General features: G+C 47.5%; 1 long non-coding RNA gene across 1 annotated transcript in view, besides 4 other annotated features; it reads left to right on the plus strand.

Moving 5' to 3' along the window:
- LINC02698 (long intergenic non-protein coding RNA 2698) overlaps positions 1-23,450 on the plus strand; it is a 242,222-nt gene that overhangs the window by 466 nt on the left and 218,306 nt on the right. Inside the window, exon 2 of the long non-coding RNA XR_001748394.3 lies at positions 16,868-16,963. This is a non-coding gene — a long non-coding RNA (long intergenic non-protein coding RNA 2698). The remainder of the gene's footprint in view (positions 1-16,867; positions 16,964-23,450) is intronic.
- Positions 5,339-5,840: an enhancer, noted in NCBI's record as "NANOG-H3K4me1 hESC enhancer chr11:115535875-115536376 (GRCh37/hg19 assembly coordinates)". NCBI's record gives its function as "activates a minimal SCP1, AML or CMV promoter by ChIP-STARR-seq in naive H9 embryonic stem cells {active_cell/tissue: H9 hESC(naive)}" and the evidence as "EXISTENCE:reporter gene assay evidence [ECO:0000049][PMID:30033119]".
- Positions 5,841-6,340: an enhancer, noted in NCBI's record as "NANOG-H3K4me1 hESC enhancer chr11:115536377-115536876 (GRCh37/hg19 assembly coordinates)". NCBI's record gives its function as "activates a minimal SCP1, AML or CMV promoter by ChIP-STARR-seq in naive H9 embryonic stem cells {active_cell/tissue: H9 hESC(naive)}" and the evidence as "EXISTENCE:reporter gene assay evidence [ECO:0000049][PMID:30033119]".
- Positions 10,370-10,870: an enhancer, noted in NCBI's record as "H3K4me1 hESC enhancer chr11:115540906-115541406 (GRCh37/hg19 assembly coordinates)". NCBI's record gives its function as "activates a minimal SCP1, AML or CMV promoter by ChIP-STARR-seq in naive H9 embryonic stem cells {active_cell/tissue: H9 hESC(naive)}" and the evidence as "EXISTENCE:reporter gene assay evidence [ECO:0000049][PMID:30033119]".
- Positions 10,871-11,371: an enhancer, noted in NCBI's record as "H3K4me1 hESC enhancer chr11:115541407-115541907 (GRCh37/hg19 assembly coordinates)". NCBI's record gives its function as "activates a minimal SCP1, AML or CMV promoter by ChIP-STARR-seq in naive H9 embryonic stem cells {active_cell/tissue: H9 hESC(naive)}" and the evidence as "EXISTENCE:reporter gene assay evidence [ECO:0000049][PMID:30033119]".

Raw genomic sequence — 23,450 nt, forward strand, 5'->3', positions numbered from 1 at the left:
GCAGAGGCTGCGGGGGTAGAGATCCAACTCCACGGAGTGAGAGAGCAGCTTTGCGCTAATGGGGCCGGGTGCAGGAAGCTGGTGCAGAGAGGAAAGAAGGAAGGGAGTCTGGGCGACTTGCGGGAGGAGAGGGGCCACCTCGCCATGTCCCCAAGGAAGGGGACCTTGGGGGACATGGGATCCTTCTGTCCCTTCCCTCCAGTGAAGAGGCGCTTCATTGATGAGCCTTGTCATCATCCTTCAAGTGTAATTTTTTTAAATTGCAAAAATCTTACAGAGCTATTAACCTCAAAAGAGTTTAACATATGGCAGACCGAGTCTCCCTCTTACCCTAATTATAAGGCTTGCAGTAATGGGGCTGTCTTTTAAGTTACAGCTGCTGCGCTTTTGGCTTTCGCTAACATTACATCCTATTAAAGAGCTACATTAAATGCATGCAAATTGCCGGAGCGACGGCGCTCTCCCGACCAGTGAGGGGGACGGATTGCAGCCGAGGCGGCGATATCGGGGTCAGACTCACCCTGCTGCGAGCGCCATATGATCTATCAATCAAACTCCTCTCATTAATTAACTAATTCATTAAATATCTTTATATATGAAGGCCCGGCCAGGCAGAACATTGTGTTGACAGGGACGTCCCGTCAGCACTTAGCCCTGCTCTCCCCACCCCTCCCCTCCTGCACAAATCTCCCGGTGACTAAGAGAGGTCAGCTTCCCAGTGTTGGCGGGCACGGAAGCAACGGCTGTGTCCACTCCTGGGGGCGCCCTCCTTGGGCCTCCTTCCGCATGAACCCCATCTGTCCGGCTTCCTCCTGGCGCGCCTGCCCTCACTCACCTATTGCTCGAATGAGCTGTGTGTGTATCTGATACCTCCGCTCGCCTGGCAACCCTTAGGTTGCTCATCTTGTGCCCCAGGGCCCAGCACTGGCAGATGCTTTGAATGTTGGGCTGAATTGGAGTGCATTCCTCTCCAGTACTTCCAAGTCATCAAGGCCTTCCTCTGCAATATGCTTCTGGAAGACTGGTCACTCTAGGGAGGAGAGGAGGTCAGCCATGTGTTCAGGCGGCATCCCGGGAGAGGAGGAGGAGGGCTTATTGGTGGTCCTAGAAAAGGTATGGGGGCAGGCGGGAGGAACTTTTAAAGTTCAGAGCTGGCCAGTGATGTAGCCACAACACCCAGAATCCGAAGCAAACCCTTGTGCCAAGGAGAATGAATCTATGTCTTCTATGAACAACAGAGACACATTTTAGAATGGATGCTAGGGTTGAGCATGGTGGCTCCTGCCTGTAATCCCAGTACTTTCGGAGGCTGAGGCTGGGGGATCACTTGAGCTTGGGAGTTTGACACCAGCTGGGCAACATAGGCAGACCTCATCTCTACAAAACAAACAAACACACAAACAAACAAACAAATAAATAAGCACGGTGTGGTGATGTGTGCCTGTGGTTCCAACTACTTGACTGAGGTCGGAGGATCACTTGAGCCTGGGAGGTTAAGGCTGCAGTGAGCTGTGATCACACCACTGCACTCCAGTCTGGGCAACAGAGGGAGACCCTGTCTCAAAAAAATAACAATAAAATAATAAGAATTAAAAAAATAGAATGGATGCTGAGTTTCTTTCATATATATATATATATATATATATATATATATATACATTTGATATATACTGTATGTATCCAATTCCTCTCATAATTAACTAATTTATTAAATATATTTATATATGAAGACTGAGCCACTTGGAACATTGTATTACATTGTATTCACAGGGACAATGCAATATATATCATATAGATATTTGACATTGGTTGAACAACCATTATTTGTCACTTCTTTCCCACATTATGTCATTTAATGTGGACAACATCTTTGCTAGGTGTTTATTTTTACTTCCAGACCATAGGAAAAGAAACAAGCTCAGAGAGAGTAAGTAATTAGTCCAAGGTCAACTCAGAATTCAGACTTGGGCTTTCTAGATTCAAGACCAGTACTGACTGCTATGTAATGACAAGGTAAGGATGGCGAGATCAGTGGCTTTGCTGCTCTCCAAGGTCACCTGCTGCCTCCTTTGTCCACACAGCTGTCTTTCTCTTCTTGTTTTGCAGCAGCCACTATCACCACTACCTTCTTGGCTGGGCTGGTGGGTTTGGGAAGGTGGAGGTCATAGCACACTCCATAATAAAGGCTCTTGACTGTGCTTAGAATGGGTTGGAGTGATTTTCCATACATAGCACCTGGAATGGACAAGCCAGTAGCCTTCTGCCCCTGGGTCCCCACACCTGGGCCCAGAACAGCTGGGTATAGGAATGAAAATGGGATGGGCAGCCTCTAAGCCAAACTCCTGGAGAACATTCCTCTACCAGGCTCTGGCCCCAGCTGGAGAGGGCAGTTACCAGGCAGGACTTCATGTCAAAATGAAAAGGGTCTTATGCAGGTGTTAGCCTTGGTTCCTGCTGTTCAGCTCACCCAAGTTCCCAACCCATACAAATGAAGTGAGGGATGCAGGGAAACTTCCAAAGCCTAGGAATTCTTGGGAAAACACATACCCAGATCTTTTTTTTGTTTTTTGTTTTTTGGATAAAGGGTCTTGCTCTATCACTCAGGCTAGAGTGCAGTAGTGCAATCTCGGCTCACTGCCACCTCTGCCTACTGGGTTCAAGCATTCCTTCCACACCAGCCTCCCGAGTAGCTGGGACTACAGGTATGTGCCACCACACCCGGCTAATTTTTGTATTTTTTTGTAGAGATGGGGTTTCACCATGTTGCCCAGGCTGGTCTCGAACTCCTGAGCTCAAGCCATCCACCCACCTTGGCCTCTCAAAATGCTGGGATTACCAGTGCTGTGAGCCGTCACACCAGGCCACCGATTCTTTTATGCTCCCTCTCTCTCCCCTTCTCCATCTCACTCACTTTCATGCCCTTCTGAGACATGGGGCTAATGGACTTTGGCTGTTAGCACCTGTGATGTTGGGCATCAACCTCGCCATGGGCCTCCATAGTTTCCTGTAGCCCCCTTGGTTCCCAAGAATAGTTTTGGAATGGGGCGTGCTGTGATAATGGGGGTTAATGGTAACCTCGGAATCAATTTTCCCTCCCAGAAGAAAATTCTCCCAGCTTAGGTTGCATACACTGTAATAGTGCAAATGGCTCTAGATTTGAAAAATTGGCATGTTGTAGTCCAACAAGGCAATTTTTATATTGTTCCATGCAGCTGTGCGCCTCTGGATGCTATGCTGCCTGTGTCCTAAAGCCACAGGATGGAGAGCATTTTCCAGCCAAAAACAGCTCTGAAGTGTTTTTTTTTTTTTTCTTCTCCCACACCAGCCTGAATTTATTGTTTTGTTCACCTGCCCAAAACCGTTGGAGCTTTGGCCTCTACCTTAGCAGCTGCCAGAGCTGCTGGGCAAGGAGAGATGGTTGTAGCTTTCTGCAAAACCTTACCCCTGCAGGCCTAAGGGCAGAGGGCCTGGGAAAGAGGGTCTCCTGAAGACCGTGGGTCTGTGCACAGGCAGCTCAGAAAGGCTGGAGCAGCTCAGGAACGCAGCTCCCAAGCAGCTTTTCCTGGCTGGTGTCAAAGCTGGTCCTTTCTTGGACTCAATGATGAGAACCCAGAGGAGGAAATGTCTTTGATCATTGTGCAGGTTACCTGATTTTGATGAACTGTGTCTGCTCTGTTTTAAGATGAGAACGATTTTGTCCTGGTTTTATAAACATTAAAATGCAAAACAAGACATCCTAGAATCAAAATATGTGATATATATTTCAAGTCATGAAAGCATAGAATGTGAGAACTGTAAGGCAGTTTATCGATTACTTGGTGAACTGTCCTCGTTGTACAGATGGGGAAATGGAGGTTGCTGAAATTCACACATCTGGTTGGTGGAAAAGAATTTGATCTCACTGAATGGTGCTGAAGGCTTTTTGGGTAATGACTCAAGTGGCCAGGGAAACCAAACCCATTATTCTATTTCTTGGCTTCTGTGGCTGTAGTTGTCTTTTTTCCACTTATTTCCCCTTCATGAGTTGTCTTAATGGGGGGGCCTTATTTGTTGAGTCAAGATTAGAACCAAGTAACGTGTTGAAATGGGATGCGGAACAAGTGCCAAGCTGGTGCCTGGACCTGCTCCCTGGTCTCACTGCAGCTGCTCTCCAATCCAGTTTCCGCAATAGGTCCTGTGTTCTTGGATCTTATTCCCTTACTCGTCAGGATACAGTCCAGGCTCCTTTCTATGGCTCACCACGGGCCTCATGAGATGACTTGTGCCTCTGTTCTTGGCCATCGGCCTCCCTCCCTGTGCCACTGAGTCCTTGCCCCATCTTACCCAATCTTCTTGGCCTACTGACTTTTTCATTTCCTTAAATTCATCTTGCTGTCATTCACCTTTGCACATTCGACTATTCCCTCCTCCTAGAAATCTCTATCTACCCCAACTCGTCCGGTTCATTCCCACCTGCCTTCCCCTGGTTAACTTGGACCCATTGCCTTCTGTCTCAGTGACATACCAGTTCTCTCAGTGAGCCTCAAAGTCTGGATTAGATGCCCTTCCTCTGACCTCCTAAAGCACCCATTACTTTCACTATTCTATGGCCTATCACTCTGTATTGCATCTGCCTATTGACCTGTTTGAATCTCACATTAGAAGATCCTCCAGGAGGGCAGGACTTGTCATGCTCACTGTTTTATTCCAGGCACCCTGCAGACTGCCTGCCTCGTGATAGGCACTCCATAAATAGATGAATGAACTATATAAGGCCTCATGCCTGTAATCCCAGCACTTTGGGAGACCAAGGCAGGTGGATTGCTTGAGCTCAGGAGTTTGAGACCAGCCTAGGCAATATGGTGAAACCTCATCTCCACAAAAAATACGAAAATTAGCCAGGCGTGGTGGTGTGCGCCTCTAGTCCCAGCTACTTGGGGGACTGAGGTGGGAAGATTGCTTGAGCACGGGAGGTTGAGGCTGCAGTGAGCCATGTTTGCACCACTGCAGTCTAACCTGGGTGACAAAGTGAGACCCTGTCTCAAAAAAATAAAAATAAAAATAAATAAACTGTATAAAAGTGATGCCTCTACAAGTAAGAACAGCTGATAGTTATTGAGTGTTTTGGTGTGCCAGAAACTACGCTAAGTACTTTACATGCATCATCTAATTTATATTAGCTCTTGTATTAATTGAATGAGATGAGAGACAAGGGTTCTAATCCTGGCTGTGTCACCAGCCGACTCTGTGACTGTCAACAGTTACCATGGTTTCCTCATCTTTGGAATGAAAGAGAGAGAAGGGGGCAGACAGGACTTCACTCCTCCATTCTTTTTCTGAGGCAAAGAGGGAATCAGGAGTGAGTCTAAGTGGGCCTAGGGGGAATTCACCCTCAGGATTCAGAGAACCAGCAGACATGGCGGGTCAACTTTCTAGTCCCGGAGCAGGAGGAGATGGATCTGGCAGAGGCTGGGAAGGGCAGCGGGTTGCTCTCTCATGCTGTGGTAGAGCTATAAAATAGAGAAGCCCGCTGCTAGCTGAGTCATTAACGCTGGTCTCCTCGCCGTCACCTCGGGCATTGTCTGATTTAAGTGTAATAGCTTGTTTGGTGGATTTTGCCTTCTATAGAAATCCCCCCAAGAGTGAAGTGCTGCATTCAGCCGAGAGAGCACAGGCCTTTGTGCACTGATGGCCTGGCCTCGGCTGAATGTGTTTGGAGTTGGTTATCAAAGGGGAGGATAAATTAGAGCACAGGGCTGAAAAGAGAGGAAGAGGGGTCCCTTTCATGAGCAGGGCTGAGCACTTAGGCAGCTGACTTGGGGCTGGGAAGCCCCAGTGCTGGCCTTCTTGCCTTTTGGCAGGGGTAGTGCTATAGCGCTGCTACAGGCGGGGCTGGCTGATGCTGGCAGAGCCCAAATTCAGAGATCCAACCAGGCCCTTGGTGGGTAAGAGGAGGGGGGCCAGTGACGTTCACGACAGAGTGGCCTCCAGTGCCCAGGGAGCACTGCTGGGGGCTGGCGAACAGATCATTTTCCCTCCCTACCCCTTCCTCCTTTAGCTGTCAGCACAGTTTAGATATTCACACAAATCTTAAGCCCCCTCTGGATTTATTGAAATTCAGTTCTGAAGGTGCTGCAGGCTCCAAGGGGCTTCTCTAGTCTTGTGGACATTATTCAGAGGCTTGGACCTTCCTCTTTACCCAACCTCTGCCTGCTGCCTCCCTCCAGTCCCTCAATGCACACTTAGAAGCTGGTGCTCAGGCCAGTTTTATGAAGTGCACTAATCAGCCATGAATATGGAGCTCCCAAAATAAGAGATCCTGGACAGTCATCCCTCTCTATAGACTTGGCTTCTGGTGTCCAGATTCAGAGGCCAAGCTGGGCACAGCTGTCAGCTGAGTCACAGGCAGGGCTGCCTCAATCATAAATTGCACTGAGTTCCCAGTTTTTCCCTGCAAGAACACATCGCTCTATTTTTCAGTGGGTCTTTTATCCCCTACCAATCTCCCTGGGCCCCTCATTGACAGTTTCTTGCCATCTGGGATCCAGATCAACAAGGGTCATTCTTTCAGGAACCAGAGACCTGCCTTTTTCTTGCCCATTAACATCTAACCCTTAATAACCAAATCTTACATGCACATCATTTTCCAGCTGGAAGGAACTCGAGACACCAAGCTGCAGACCTATTATTAAGACCTGTTTTGAGCTGCAGATGTTTTTAAGAATTGTCTGAAAGTTATGACCCCTCACTCCCAGCAAAACACACATATTCTCATGCATATAAAAATTTACCTGCTTCTTCAGGCGGGTAACATCCTCCAAGTCTATGTACACATTCCACCCTGGTTGCACCTTTGAATTATCTCAGACCTTTTAATAAAATTCTGAGGTCTGGGCCTTATACAAGGATATTCTCATTTAATTTTTTTAGGGTGGGGTTTGGGCATTAGTTAGTTTTTTTTTTTTTTTCCTAAAAAGTTCCAGGTGATTCTAATGCAGCCAGGGTTGAGATCCCTAAAGCAGCCAGGGTTGAGAATCATTGCCCTAGAGGCTCCTAGGACCCCCTCCCCCAGTTAAGAAGCCCAGCTGTGGACAGTCCACGCATAGGAAGGCCTGTGCTGGGACATTGCTAGGAATGGATGAGATACCATGAGCAGATTTACCATCTTGCCCACTGCATTTAAAGTCCTTTCCTTCTTTTCTCCCACCTTGAGGGGTACTTCCTTTGTGCTCCCTTAAAATAATTTAAGCTTACCACAGTGAAAAAGGAGTTTGGTTGCCTTGATGTGCTCCTGTCATTTCAAGGGGCTCAATAAAAATTTAGTTTCGGTATTCGCTCAATGCGACTTCCACAAAGAGGTCTTATGTTGCAAACCAGATTTCTCTTTTCATCTGGTCACCACCAGGGAAATTGTGTATTTGAAACTCAAACAATATTTGGGCAAAAAGAGTTTCTCATTATACGCGGTGGGGAAGGGCAATGGGAGGAAAGTGCAGGGAAATGATTGAGTGACATTTCTATTTGCCGGGTTGACTTCTCCACCAGCGGCAGCCGTGGTATGGGGCTGCTGGAGAACTTCAGCTTCCTGGTGTGGACTGGAAATGCAAGGACCCTGGAAAAAATAATGTGGAGGAGAAAAATGGGATGGGCTAGAAACAGATTTGAAGAGTCAGTGTGACCTCAAGCTGACATTACTGTTGACAATGAGAATAAGATAGACAAAGAGTTTTGTGTTTTGCACAAGTTCTCTTTAGTGGGAGGACTGTTAAGTTCTAGTCTCTCAAGGCTGAAGGGAACGCAGAGGTCATCTGCATCCACTTTCTTTGGTAGGTAAATCCACTCTCTAACGTGCTAACACTGGGCAAGCATTTAAATGGACTCAAACAGAAAACTTTTTTTTTTTTTTTTTTTTTTTGAGACAGAGTCTACCTCTGTCACCCAGGCTGGAGTGCAGTGGCGCAATCTCAGCTCACTGCAACCTCCACCTCCCGGGTTCAAGAGATTCTCCTGCCTCAGCCTCCTGAGTAGCTGGGATTACACCAGGCTAATTTTTTGTATTTTTAGTAGAGATGGAGTTTCACCGTGTTGGCCAGGCTGGTCTCGATCTCCTGACCTCAGGTGATCCACCCACCTTGGTCTCCCAAAGTGCTGGGATTACAGGCATAAGCCACTGCACCTGGCCAGAAAATATTTATTGAACGGCAACAATATCTGGTATTCAGTAAGGCATTAAGGGGACTTCAGAATCTGACAGGACATAATACCTGCCCTTAAGTAACTTACGGTTTCCTGGAGGACTCAAACAGCTAAAACATCCAGGAGACAGTGATAAATGATATGCAGGAGGACACTGAGGGGAAGAACATTCACCTTGATTGAGAGTCCAGCAGGAGCTGGTGCTTTTCCCAAATGACTTCTTTTAATCCTTCCAACAACTCCTGCAAATAAGTACTGTTATCATCACCCCCTTTTCATAGGCAGTGAAACTGATGCTCAGAGTGGTGAATTTGCTCTTTCTTCTTTCATTCTTTCTTTTTTCTTCTTTTTTTTCTTGAGACAGAGTCTCGCACTGTCGCCCAGGCTGGAGTGCAGTGGTGCGATCTCGGCTCACTGGAGATGCAAGCTCCACCTCCCGGATTCACGCAATTCTGCCTCAGCCTCCCAAGTAGCTGGGACTACAGGCGCTCGCCACCACGCCTGGCTGATTTTTATTTTTATTTATTTATTTATTTATTTATTTATTTATTTATTTATTTGTATTTTTAGTAGAGACGGGGTTTCACCGTGTTAGCCAGGATGGTCTTGATCTCCTGATCCCGTGATCCGCCGGCCTCGGCCTCCCAAAGTGCTGGGATTATAGGCGTGAGCCACAGTGCCCGGCCATGAATTTGCTTTTTCAAGGTGACACAGCCAATAATGAGAGTGAGTGTGCTAACCTGGTGTTTCTCAGACCTATGCGCTTGCCACCAGACCATACAGCTCTCCTAAGAGGAGTTCAAAAGGGGCAAAGACAGGCTTTTGGCTGGGGTGGGAGATGAGAAGAGGGGAATGTAGGCATATAGCAGAAGGGTGTCACAGGGAGAAGGAACACAGAACAAAGGCACCAAGGCTGGTAGTGCTTGGGGAAGGAAACATAGCACCTTCAGCTGGAATGCGGGGAGGGCAGAGAGGGTGATACCAAGCAGGAAGAGGAGTTAGAATAGAGATTTGAAGGCGTGGGATTCTAAGGAGCTGGGATTTGTGGTGGTGAGATCCTATAACGTTTTCAGAGAGGAGTGGGTGTAATGTGATCATTACTACTCTTGATTTAAGAAGAAGCGTACAGATTTTGAATCCTGGCTCGATCATTTCCTAGTTATGTAACACTGGGCAAATTATTTACTCTCCTTGTGCCTCAGTTCCCTCATCTGTAAAATGGGAATGATAAATAGTCCTGACTGCATTGAGTTGTGCAGATCAAATAAGTAACACATGAGGAGTGCTTGGACTAATGCCTGGCGTATAGTAAGCTCTTCGTAAATGTTGGGGATAATTTTCTTAAAACTTATTTTATTTATTTATTTATTTATTTATTTATATACAGATGGGGGTCTCACTTTGTTGCCTAGGCTGGAGTGCAGTGGTGTGATTATAGCTCACTGCCACCTTGATTTCTTGGGCTCAAGTGATCCTCCTGCCTCAGCCTCCTGAGTATCTGGGACTACAGGCATGCACCAGCACACCCAGCTAATTGGGTATAATTTTTACCCTTTGGGAATGTAATTCTGATATAGCAGGTAAGAGGGAACAGATGAAGGCCTGGGTGTTAGTTAGGAGCCTACTGTAATAGTCTAGGAAAGAGGGTCAAAGGACTTAACTTAGACTGGAAACAATGGTACCCCTGTAGATGGTACCCCACTACCCCTGGGTGGGGGGCATGAAATCAATGCAACTCTAACTCTGATTGGCAGCTGAGGTGGGTTCAGGAATGGCCCCAGATAACTCAGCTGGGAGAAGAGCAGTGTCAGTCATAGAGCTCAGGGCACTAGGAGAAGCTGCAGGTGAGTGGGGAAGAGAAGTTCAGTTTAAACACGTGTTAAACAAGAATGAAAAGCAACCACAGAGCCTAAAGAGGAGGCCAGAGAATGGCAGCTCAGCCTGGCCCTGGACTTGTTTCTAGCTGGCTGCCCTGCTTCTTTGCCCCTCCTGGGTCCCACGAAGCCCCATCTCCATGCTGCCCCTGACTGCTGTGCCTACACATCCTCTGTGCCCCTTCGTTAGCCCGTGCATGCCCTCTGCAGCTGCTTCCCCTCGTGATCAGGGCATTTGGATCCTGAGTCCCTGTCAAAGTAGGTGGTGTTCCCTGCTGTTCCTTGAGGTGGCTGGCTATAAGGGATGGATGGGCACAATCCCAGGCCTTGTGGACTAAGAGAAGAGAGGGAAGGATTTAGGGGATGGTAGTCAGTGGCAATAGGAAATATGTGTTGTGCCCTGGAAGGAGAAAATGGATGAGTGACCAGCTTTGGGGCTTTCAAGGCCTCCTGTTGCCATAAGAATCCCTTGGTGTGGGACCCAGTGCCCTTCTGCACTCTCTGCCCCTGTCTGATAGTGGGCACGTGGCACTGTGGGTGGGTACCAGCTTGCTGAGATGGCTGCTGGTGAGTAGGGGGACTCAGCCTGGAGCCCCCAGCCCCCATACTGCCTGTTGGTTACACTGTGGCTGCTGCTGCCACCACTGGCATACGTTCAGATGGTTCCCTGAGTTCCACATCAGGGATTCAGACAAAAGGAGCTTGCAACTGAAAGGGTGAGTCTTATAACAAAATTATCAGCCTGCTGTCAACCAGGCGCTCTGCCGCTGCAGAACAGACTTCAGACAGGTTGCAGCATGTCAGGCTGGGCCTGCCTGGGCTTGGCAGGGGGTCCTATGGGCAGAGAGAGTCAATTACCCAGAAAGGTTCCACTTAACTTCCCCCGCTGCTCGCGGACCCTGCCCCAGCCTCCGAAGTCTTGCTGGCCTCTGCCAAAACACTGTCAGCCTGTGCTGGGGTTGGCCACCCGCCAACCCTGTTGTTGGGTATGTCTAGTGCCACCCTTTCTAGGGGGCCAGTGTCCTGCCCTTGTCAGCTCTAGGGCTCCCTGTGCTGGCCCTTGGCCAGTGGATTTTCATTTTTCCCCCTGCAGACTTCACAGGGTCCTTAGGTGGCAGGGACATCAACAAGCTGCCTCATCTATCATATGCACTTGGTGGGTGGCCTTCCCCATCCTGTGACGTAAGCATCCCACATGATCCTAATCCTCCTCTGTCACCTGTCCTAGTACAGTGGGTGGTCACGATTTGGGCTCTGGAGTCAGACAGACAGGGGCTTGAAGCCTGGCCCAGCTGCATGCTACCATGTGGCCGGGCATGTTACTTTAACCTCTTTAAACTTGAGCTTCCTCGTTGGTGAAGTGAGAATAATAATAGTATATATCTCATAGGATTATTTTGAGGATCAAAGAACATAGCGGTTGTTACGTACTGAAGTGCCTGGCACATGAAAAACGCTCAACAAATAGCTTTCCTTCTTCTTCCTCTTCCTCCCCAACTTCCTCCTTCACCCTTCTCCTCCCTCCTCCTTCCCGCCCTTCTCCCATCCTCTTCCTTCTTCCCCTCTTCCTCATTTTTCTTCATTTATAATCCTCACTTATCGGGAAGTTTGCTATTTCAGTTTCTCCTCTCTACTCTAGAGACCTGAATTGGGAGAAAACCTAGTTTCTTGTCCAGGCTTATCAGCTAATTCTCTTCATAAAGAATGTAGTCTACAACTCAAAACATATGCAACTAGGGTATGTTTCCCCTAGCTGGTGAACGCACAGGTTAAGGATCTTGGGTTATTTTAAGTCTTAAGGGCCACTGGTTTTTGTTTAACCACTGAAGTCTCACAGTTCACAAATATTTCCTTACTGTGCACCTCCTCAACCAGCCTAGCCATCTCTCACATGTTTGCTTTTGGTCATAAACACCCAAAAGATGCAGTTTGGACCACATGTGTAATCTCAGCACTTTGGAAAGCTGAGGTGGGAGGAGCGGTTGAGCCCAGGAATTTGGGACCAGCCATCTCTCAAAATAAAAAAAAAAAAAAAATCCAGGTATGGTGGTGCATGCCTATGCCTATAGTCACAGCTACTTGGGAGGCTGAGGTGGGAGGACTGCTTGAGCCCAGGAGTTCAAGGTTACAATGAGCTATGAAGGCACCACTGCACTCCAACCTAGGTGACAGAATGAGACTCTATCTCTAAAAAAAGAAACAAAACACAACAAAAGCAAAGATGCAGTTTAGAGCTCTGAGAGTGAAATGCTATAATAGTATACCAGCTTCAACACATGCTCCGTGGGTGCAAGGCAGAACCGCTGTCATTTCGCCATTAAGTCACTCAACGAGCTTTGACTGAGAGTCAACTATGTACCTGGGAGCTGAGGGTTTAAAGGCAGATAAGACACAACCTCACCCCTCAAAGAGTGAGCAGCCCGCTGGGAAGGTGGGTAAGTACACAAATCACTACACTTGAGTGTACTGTACTCTGTGGACAGCCTAGAATAATGCTGCAGAAGGAGAGGGCTTGGGGGGCCTTGTGGGACTCAGTGGGGAGCCATGTTCTGCAGGTCAAGTAGGATTTAGCCGAGGGAAGCTGGAAATGGAAACCCACACTGTTCGTCCACCTTCTTGGGGAGATGTGGTACCTAAAGTTGGAACAACTGACTGCTTAGCGGACTTTAATCCAGCCACCAGCACTCTTTCCCAATTTAGACTCTTGAAATCTGTGCACAACGCCCTCTGTCTGAGAGACCTGTCCCTGGGGTCCAAGTCAAGGCTGCAGCAGAAGGCTGTCTCTGGGTGCATCTCAGGTGTGGGGCAGGGTCCCCCATCTGTCTCCCTTGCCGTGGAGGTGTGTTGGTGAGGAGCGACTGACGGATTCTGTGAAAAGTGACTGCACCCCAGTACTATACTAATTGTGCTAGACAGAGCTGTTTGAATACCACCAGACAGAATATTACTCAAATTAAAATGAGGCCTTAAATGTCATTATTTGTGTCATTATTAATAGCCCCTAATTGTGTTCTCTAATCATCATAAAATTATGTTAGTATTAATATTCACGTCAAAGCTGCCTAGGGAACTTGGAAGATTAAAAAAAAAGTTATGCCATATGTCAGTTCCCATGAATGTGAAGCAAGTGCTGGTTTTAGTGCGTTGGTTCAGGCTGGAGATGAGAGCATGGCCTGCAGTGGCCAGGGACTGGGGTAGCCCTCGTCTGCTGCTCCCCGAGTGACTGACTCCTGGACTCCTCCACCTGGCAAGACCCTTGAAGGCACCAGTGGGAGCTGTTCTCACAGGACACCCTGCAGGCCTCGGGCCAGCTGCTCTCACTGGTGAGGGGATTAGACAGTGTTTGGTTCCCTGGGATATGGTACTTTCCCTTCTCCTCTTCTCCAACTTTAAGACCTGCTTCTGTCTAGACACCATAATGAAAAGTATGTTGCAATCCTAGCTGGCCTCCCTCTCCAGCTACTGGCAGACTCCACCCCAGTGTGTTTGGGAAACTGCCCAAACTATCCTCTGTTGCTTGGAGAAATGGTGTGAAAGAAATAGGGTTACTTTGGGAGGCCAAGGCAGGCAGATTACTTGAGCCCAGGAGTTTGAGACCAGCCTGGGCAACACAGCGAGAACTCGTCTCTACAAAAAATACAAAAATTAGCCCAGTGTGCACCTGTAGTCCCATCTATTCAGGAGGCTGAGGTGGGAGGATCGCTTGAGCCCAGGAGGTTGGGGTTGCAGTGAGCTGCAATCACGCCACTGCACTTCAGCCTGGGTGACAGGGTGAGACCCTGTCTCAAAAATAAAAACTAAAAAATCAACAAAAATTTTTTTTAAAGAAAAAGAAATATGGTGGAATCTCGCAGAGAAATTTATCATATAATATGGAAAGAACTTTCAGGAAATGTACTTAGAGACCCAGAATTAAAAAATATATACAAGGTGTCCATAAAGTCCAGAAACAGGTGAATCTACCTATGTCTTCAAGGATAGCTTCTTACGATAAGGAATAATAAATAATATTTAATATTTAAAGGATATTTATATTTAATATTCAGATATTTATATTTAATATTTAGATATTTATATTTAAATATTTATATTATGTTTAATATTTAAAGGATAATAAATAATATTATCCTTGTTTCCACCCTTTATGGATGACTTGTACTTTGCCGATGCTAACCTTGCCAGGCCTTCTTTGGGGCAAAACAGTGACCCCCACTATTTAGATGGGGCTCCATTCGGATGCTTGCTTTTCTTATTGGAGATGAGATGAGTGAGAGCCTCAGTTGGGGATGAGCTGAGTTACGCCTCCCCTCACATCACGTGGGACTTTGGTTCTGCATCCCCTCGGATTGACATGGGGTGTACGAGGTGGGGGGTGGGGGTAACAAGGCAGGTGGTGTCGCCAATTAGTGCTTCCCTCCCCTAGGGGATGTGTGAGGCGACTGCCTGGGACCCCCAGAGGCATCAGCCTCCTGCTGACATCACTCAGGGCTCCTCTTCATTGTTTCTCAACATTCCTTTAGGCTGCCTGCTCAGCACCTCAGCCCTCCACTAATGGAGTCCACGTGATCACGATGTGTCAGGCAAATCTGGGGCAACCGCCTCACTCTTCCCAGAGCCCTTGGAATTCTCTGGAACTGAGAATATTCAAATGCCTTTCTTGGTGAAACAGCAGGCTTCCAACCCCCCAAATATTATGACTTGAGTTAAATATAACACAGAGCATGAAAATAACGGCACAACACAGGAGCAGGGGTTCCGGGGAGCGAGCGGCTTGCGTACACACACAGCGTCTGTCACTCTGGGTGTGGCAGGGCGTTTGCAGACCCCACAGACACACAGGCAGAAAACCCACAAAATCACATAGAAGGCTTGGTGCATTCTGGGCTGGCAAGTTGCTACTTCAGCCTGGATGGGCCTTAAATCTGCTGGTTTCTGAATATATACACAGACATTTTTTTTTTTTTTCCTGATCAGATGTGGTGTGGCTTAAAGGGTAGGAGGAGGAGCTCTCTTAACTGTGGTGGAGAAAGCCAGACGCCTGCTTTCTCAGTCATGCAGGGAGGATTGGGTAGGCCTAGGACACTTAAAGGCAGTGTCAGATGTGGCTCGGCCATGCCGATACTTACTTCCAAGCCCAGAGGGCAAACGACGTACCCTTCAGCCCCCAGATTGCCTTTTAAGATAATCTAGAAGAAGCAGCCTTGGCCTGCAGAGGGGAGGGTGGGTGGATCTGTGTTTGGGACCACAAGCCAGGTTCTGCAGTCTCCCGGCTTCCCGTGTAATCGCATGCATAAGTTTGTGGTGAAAACTCAATGGGTCACAGATAAGCAAAAGGTCTTCCGAAAGTCAGACGCTTGAATTCCAAACCCAGTGATTACAGTAATTGTTGGCCTAGGGCTGGATTTGAACCAGTGAACCTAGAATAGCAGAGTTGAATAGGCCTCCTTTCAGAGCCATTCCACCACCAAGTTACCCGGCAACACAGCCACGTGGCTGCTCCTCTGCTCTTCGCTGTGGGCCAAACAGCAGATAGCTCAGGCCATTCTGAAAGAGCAGATATATTGGCGTCTTCCTTGTAATACTAATACCTTATACATGTAGGAGGATTTATAGCTTTCGTAGCATGCTTTTACTTAAGTGGCCTCCTTTGATCTTCATAATGTAAGTGGAGCACATATAATTATCCTCCACTTTACAGATGAGAAAATTGAGTCTCCGGACAGGTATCGGCCAAAGGCTATTGGCTTACAAGTGACAGAAGCAGAGTTGATCCCACACCACCTGATTGCTAGTGCTTCATTCTGGATTGCCCACTCTTAGAAGGTGCACCACTCTATCCCTCCACCGCCACTCAGGGCAGCTTGGAAATCTGGCAGAAGGCTAGCTAGGCCATGAATACTACAAAGGCAGCAGCAATATCACCAAGCTCCCTACCCTTCTTCAAATCTGTTCTTTTTTCCAGCCGTATCTCAGGCGTGCATGAGATGAAGTCCAGAGAAGTGCATGGGAGGTGAGAAGGGAAGGTGGTGAGAAAGATCTTACCCTCTCAGGGTCTCTGCTTTGTTCTCTGTGATTGCTGCCTCAAAGACAAGTCAGCAGAAATATCCCCTGTTCTTCTTGAATCTGAAAACAAAACCATGAAAGTACTTCTCCCTTATCCCTCCCTCTCCAATCACCCAATCTGAGGCACTTTATTTGAGAGGGGGCTTGGGTTGAGGAAGGGGGATTCCTATTTCACTCAGCTGCTGCTGTGAGGGTTTTAGAAACAGGTGACAGTAAGACTGAGGATATCTGTCCTGGAGTCACACCTGGAGCTGTTGATCTTTCTCCTGCTTGAGGAACATAGACATAAAGCTGTTCTTGTGGAATTCACACAAACACTTGATTTCCCCAGAACCCTCTTGCATCCTGAGATGCACTGCCCAGCTTCCCACCTCTGTGCCCCACAAACCTTCCTCTTCCCTGTCATCCGCTCTACAAAGCCCCTGCTAGAAGTTGACAAAGCTGACTGGCTGCTTAATGTGCTACAGGTGTTGTTGCTAGGCAACCACCCCACTCTGCAGCTCAGACTCTGTCAGCCCAAATGAAACCCCTGGTAGCACTTAACCCCGTAACTGCTTAACACAAACACTAATTACGCAGGCCCACCAAACAGCACATTTATAAGCCATAATCAAGGGTCAGGAGGGCGCATTCTCAGCACCTTCATTCCTTCCACCTACACTTCCTACCACTGAGCCGTGGGTCAGGCTGTCACAGGCAGGATTTCGAGGCCTTTTGCCTGTAAGTGCTGGTTCCCTTTTTCCTGGCCATACCAGGTGGACACGGAATTGTAGTGCTGGTCCTCCCTCTGCACTGGACTGGATTCTGCCAAAGTCAACCAAGCGCCTTCAGTTGCTGACTCTCGTCTCCAGGTAAGAGGCTGCAGAGCCTGTTCCTGCATTTTTATTGATGTTTAGGCTAAGCCTCTTGGCCTAAAACCTCATAGTTATAGAAAATTTGTTTCTCTGATGTCTGTATTCGGTTGAGCTGGAGATGACCACCCATTTTTGACAATTCTCCTAACACTTGAGCGTTTTACATTTCTGTGGTTCGGCTCATTTCCCCAGATGGAATAACTCACATTCCTTTAGCTTGACCAGGAATTATAGGAACCTCTAGGCATGTAGATAGATACTTTTGTAGATCAAACTCTAGTAGAATTGATCTGTTCTTGAGTTGGTCTCCCACTTCTAGACTGTGATCACATCACTAACTCATTGTAGGTACTCAACAACTATTGGTGAATGCATGAACACAACCATATTTTAAATTTCCACTTCCTCAACCACAGAGTAAAGTCGACAAAGAAGAGAGAGACCATTAAGTAGCAGAGCAGACTCTCCTATCTCTTCTTGCTTCCTTTTTCTCATGAGATTAAACTGCATAAATCAGATTACAGGAGATCCTGACGAGGCACCAAGTCTTCTTTCTGCAAGTAGTCCTGATTGTAACAGGCAGATCTAGGCCTGCTGGGCCGCAGGTGTGGAGAGTCCCATCTATTCCGGAAAGGCAGCTTCCCCCAGGCAGGCTGGGCACTTTCCCAGGATGCCAGAACACTGGATGGACTTTCAGGGGATCACTACCACCCTCTTTCCCAGCTGGAAAAACCAGTAAACCCTTGTCCTACTGGCAATTGTTTAATTATTCAAGGGTGAAGGAGCAGAGAGATCTTGCTGTTTCTGAGTGTTTGGGCTCATTATTATTTAGCAACAAATATTTCAACCTCAGAACCCCACCTCAAAGTTAGTATCCCGCTCCCTGTGAATGAAATGTGCCCGGTACTGTCCTCCCCTTGTGCACATGTTATTGTTTAACCTTCACCAGGGCTCTCGCATATGGATGTAACCATCTCTGCCCTACATGTGAGAAACAGGTCCAAAGAGGCTAAATAACTCACTCAAGTTTGGACACCTAGTAAGTGGCAAAGCCGGCATCCTGAAGCCTCCTTTTTCCTTCACTATGATACACTGCCTCTCAGGACATTGGAAAACTAGAGCCCAGAGAGGCTGAGTGACTTGCTTGAAATCCTGCTGACAGCGAGTGGTACGACAGAGATTTGAATCAGGACTGATCTGGCTCTAAAGTTCTTATCACGTTTTGTCTTCTATATCACAACACATTTTAGAGTTATTCCTCGTTTCTGTGTTGGATGGTGCCTCCTTAGAGGCGAAATCCGAGTGTCCAGCAGGCAGCCGTGGGTTCTAGGAAGCAGCGTAGACCGTGTCCTGAGCAGACTGTATTCTGAAGTGGCGGGCCTCCTTCCAGCTCTTCTCCACTTCCTTGAAAGGACCACATTGAGGGGGTGAGGAGAGAGAGAAAGAAAAGAAGGAGGAGGAGGAGGAGAAGGAAAAGAAAAGGGAGGGAGAGAAAGAAAGAGACAGACTGAGAGAGAGATAGTAAGGAAGAGAGAGGGAAACACACACACACACACACACACACACACACACACACACACACACACAGAGGGAGAGAGGGAGAGAGAGACTTCTTGTTCTGGCAGCCCCAGTGGCTCCCTGTTTCCCCCTCACATCTTGAGTCAGTAATGCCTTGGCTTTGGGCTAAGCCACTGTTGCCAGCTGGTGGCATTAAGAGTTGGGATTGCCAGCTTGGTCACAGGTGACAGGATTGCAAACATCATCATGGCCCTGGCTCCTTCCCAGCAGACCCAATGGGTCGTAGTAAGCCCCAGTTGGGGAGGTAAATGGAGGTAAAAAGAGATTGTATTTTATGGGTCCAAGTGGGGAGGGGGCTGAAGGGCTCGCCCCATGAGTTTAACACTTTCATGCATGTGGTTTCTCCATAAAGTATTAATAATGTTCCTATAATTGATACTTCAGGGCAATAACCTCTGACAAAACGGCCCTGATTAGCAGATAATTGAGTGTGTTGGATTGTGTCCTGAGAGAGCTGAATGCCAGGCAAGGCCCATTAGCCTATCATAATGACCCCTTTTGTCAGGTATTAGTGTCATTAAGAACCTGCTCTCTGAAATCAGTCCCTTTATTTAACTCTTTTCCCTAATTATATGGATCATTTTACAAATCAAAGCAAATGTTTGCATACAGCCCCCAGTCATGCAATGGACTGAGGTGCTGGAGGAGCAAGCTGGAGATTTCTGAGTGGAGAGTCCTGGGTCAGGAGGACACTCTTTGTCACTGGAAGTTTTCTGGAGGAGGCGGGCCCCTAGAAGTCCAGTCAGGGTTCCACAAGGCTATGGCGCACCCTGTCGGCTCAGGTGCCAGGGTGATGGAACGTCTGGATAGGAGGTGCCTTGCCAAGAGAGCTTGCAGGCCACACATAAGTCAATGCCTAAATTAATCTTGGCAAAACATGTGGCCCCTCGGACCAGCTGCTTAACACAGAGAGCACTAGGATTGAACAGGTTGGTACCAGCCACAGGGCACCTAGAAGATACAGACTCCTGAGCTAATCAACTGGGTTATGCCCAAAGGAGACTCACATCTCTGTCAGGAAGCAGGAGCCTCTGGGAATGGCTAGGGAGGAAAAGTAGGACCAGAATCCCCCGGATCTGGGAAGATATTGCTGCAGTGGACAGGTGTCCATGCTTAGAGCTGCCAGCTAGGTAAGCAGCCAGTGTGCCTGGGACTCTCGGGGACTTACAGCGTGATCAGCCCCCAGGCCACACACATGGAAGCTGACACAACAGGGAGCTCAAGGGACAGAAAGCCGCATTCTGACCTGCTCCCCCGGTCCTTCTCACTCATTAAAAAGTATAGACAGTTTCCCATTTATTTGAATCCAGTCACTGGCTGACACCTTTTCCACCCTCCCCAGCTCCATACAAAGCTTTTTATCCCAGAGCAGGTTCCATGTGGGTGAATCAGAAAGAGGTCTGAGTCTCCAGCATGAATTGCTTAGAGACAAGGGGCTGATAGCTTTTTGGCAGCTAAGAAGGATATATTTTTATATATACCAAAGATGAAGGTGAAAGGATATCACTTGTTACAGGGAAGGCTCAGAGGTTGCTGAGCTGCGGATAATTTACTTATTAGGCAAAGTGATGGGTAAATTTCCCGAGAGGAGCTATGACCTGTTGTGAGGCCTGGGCTGGTGTCTCTGGACCATATCTCCTCCTCTCCTCTCCCGTTTTTGCACAGCAAATGCTCCTTGAGTTTGCTTTCCCTTGTTGTAATCACAGAGGGGCTTGTGCTCTCATGATTTGCGTTGGGCCTGGTGAATTTCCTAGCATTGGCCTTGGGTGGAGAGCTGCCAGCCATGCAGAGAAACTGCTGGGGTTTTTGCCGAGGAAGCAGAATTTTGGTGGTGGAGTGTGATATTCTCCTCTCAGAAATAATACCTTTCATTTAAGGTAAGAGAGGAGATTTGACATCCCATGAAAATATGATTTTAAGCCCTGTTCTGCTTGGGGTAGACTTTTTCTCTGGGGCCAAGTTGCTGAACCAGGGAATGCAAGCCCCTAAACTGACAATGAGGGGTGGTGGTCTGAGGTACACTACCTAAGACTCCTCTGGAAAGGGGGCTAGACATGGGGAAATCCTGCTTTCTTGCTGTAGCTCTCCCCGGGGACCAGTTCTGCTCAAACCCCAAGGAATGCTGCTCCCAGGAAACAAAGAATGTGCACTTCACCTTTCTGAATACTGGGAACACAGTGATACTATGGACGACTAGACAAAAAAGCTAATAAATATTCTATGTTATGCTAATTTCTAAGTAGTAACATAGAATTTTATGTTTATTCAATCAACAAACATTTTATTTTTTCTTTTTTTTGAGACAGGTTTTTGCTCTGTCACCCAGACTGGAGTGCAGCAGCATGATCATGGCTCACTGCAGCCTCAAACTCTCAGGCTCAAGTGATCCTGCCACCTCAGCCTCCCAAGTGGCTGGAACTACAGGCATGCACTACCCTGCCCAGCTATTTTTTTTTTTTTTTCTTTTTGTAGAGGTGAGGTCTGACTATGTTGCTCAGGCTGGTCTTGAAATCCTGAGCTCAAATGATCCTACCACCTTGATTTCCCAAAGTGCTGGGGCTCCAAGTGTGTGCCACCATGCCTGGGCATTTTTTGTTTGTTTGTTTGTTTCTCATAGAGACAGGTCTCACTATGGCTGGTCTTGAAATCCTGGGCTCAAGTGATCCTCCCAGCTCAGCCTCCCAAAGTGCTGGGATTACAGGCAGAAGCCACCACTCCCAGCCTCAACAAACATTTTTTAAACATCTCACTGCCTGGGCCCTGAACCAGGCATTGAGTATAGACAGATGAATGGGACATGGAACCTGCCCCCAAGTAGCTCACAATCTCTTATGTGTATGGTGGTGATGGGGTATACAAGATCCTTAATTCAACCCATTGTATTGAGGCCGTAATAGAAACGTAGGCTGGGTGTTATGGAAATGCACAGGAGGAAATAATTAACTACTTCTGCCTAGGAAAGAAGGGGAAGGAAGGTTTTCCTGCAGATACAATGTTTAAGCTGAGGTTTGAGAATCTGTCAGATGAAAGAACGAAATAAAGCACCGGCACAACAAAGAAAAGCTACAATTTATTAGGGGTTCTAGTATAATAGTCATAGTATCTCATCTTCTAGAGCAATTACTATATGTTAAATGCTTTGCATGACTTACCTCATTTGATCGCCACAGCAACCTTGTAAGATGGGTATTTTTGGTATCCTTATTTTATACTTGAGGAAATAGAAGTTTTGAGGGAATTTATAAAAATTTAATAATCTGCTAGAGTCACACAATTATTAAATGTTGGGCAACCAAGATTTGAACCCAGGGCTGGGCGTGGTGGCTTACGCCTGTAATCTCAAGACTTTGGGAGGATGAGACGGGTGGATCACCTAAGGTCAGGAGTTCGAGACCAGCCTGGCCAACATGGTGAAACCCCGTCTCTACTGAAAATACAAAAGTTAGCTGGGCGTGGTGGCTCATGCCTGTAATCCCAGCACTTTGGGAGGCCAAGGCAGGTGGGTCACTTGAGGTCAGGAGTTCAAGACCAGCCTGGCCAACATGGTGAAACCCTGCCTCTACTAAAAATATAAAAATTAGCCAGGCTTGGTGGCACGCGCCTGTAATCCAAGCTACTTGGGAGGCTGAGGTAGGACAACTGCTTGAACCCAGGAGGCAGAGGTTGCAGTGAGCTGAGATGCCACTGTACTCCAGCCTGGGTGACAGAGCAAGACTCCATCTCAAAAAAATAAATAAATAAATAAAAAAGATTTGAACCCAGACTTCTGAAGCCAGAGGGCAAGCTCTTTTTTCATCCAGTATCCTGCTTCCCTAAGCACTGTACAAATGTTAATTCATTGAATCCTCATAACGACCCAGAGAGACAGTCATCCTTATCTTCATTTTCGGGTGAAAAAATTTGGAATGCTGTATGATGATCTGTGGTATGGAGAGTACACCAGGCAGAGCACGTTTGGGAAACTTTCCAAGGCAACTTGTGCGGTTTCCTGCAGGCCCTCATTCCTACCACCCTGGCTCTTCAGAATAATGATTCTGAGTCTCAAGTTCTTTGTGGGTAAAATGTAGAGTTTGGGAGTGAGAAGCGGAAGGGAGTGAGGTTGGTGGTGGGCAGAATATGGTCCCCCAAGGATGTCCATGTCCTAATCCCCACAACTTATGACTATGTTGAGTTACTTGGCAAAGCGGTTGTAGTGGAAATTAAGGTTGCTCATCAGTTGACCTTGAGATGGTGAGATTATCCTGGTTTGTTTGGATGGGCCCAGTGAAATCATAAGGGTCCTTGTCAGTGGAAGAGAGAGGCAGAAGAGAGAGAACCGGAGAGGAGACAGTGTGAGAAGGCTCAGTCTGATATCGCTGGCTTGGAAGATGGAGGAAGGGGCTGTGAACCAAAGAATACAAGACACTGGGAAGGCAAGGAGATAGATTCCCCTCCAAGCCTCCAGAAAGGAGTGCGGCCCTGCCAGTGAGACTCACTTCAGACTTCTGAACTCCAGAAATCTAAGATAATAAGTTTGTGTTGTTTAAAGCCACTAAGTTTGTGGCAATTGGTTGTAGCAGCAATAGAGTTGGAAAGTAGGATCGGTCAGCTTGCTTGCATACTGGACTAAGGAGGTCAGTTATTAATTAATCATTTTTACAAAATGAATAAAAGAGACCTCCACCCTGCTGAGTCTGTCTGTGACTCAGTGCAGTTCAGCCTTAGGCAATGCTGCCTAGGTCCCCTCAGGAGCCAGGCTCAGTGGAACCATTCTAGGCCATCACATTCTGCACATTCTCTGGAGACCTAGGCAACAAAAGATCTTTGTCATAACCACATGGATTAAAAGTGAGGGGTTGGGGAGATGGTAAGCTAACTCTGTGAGAGGCTGAATCTGCAGATCACTGAAGACGTATTCTAGGGCGAG

Source organism: Homo sapiens, chromosome 11, assembly GCF_000001405.40.
Source record: "Homo sapiens chromosome 11, GRCh38.p14 Primary Assembly".
NCBI lineage: Eukaryota > Metazoa > Chordata > Mammalia > Primates > Hominidae > Homo > Homo sapiens.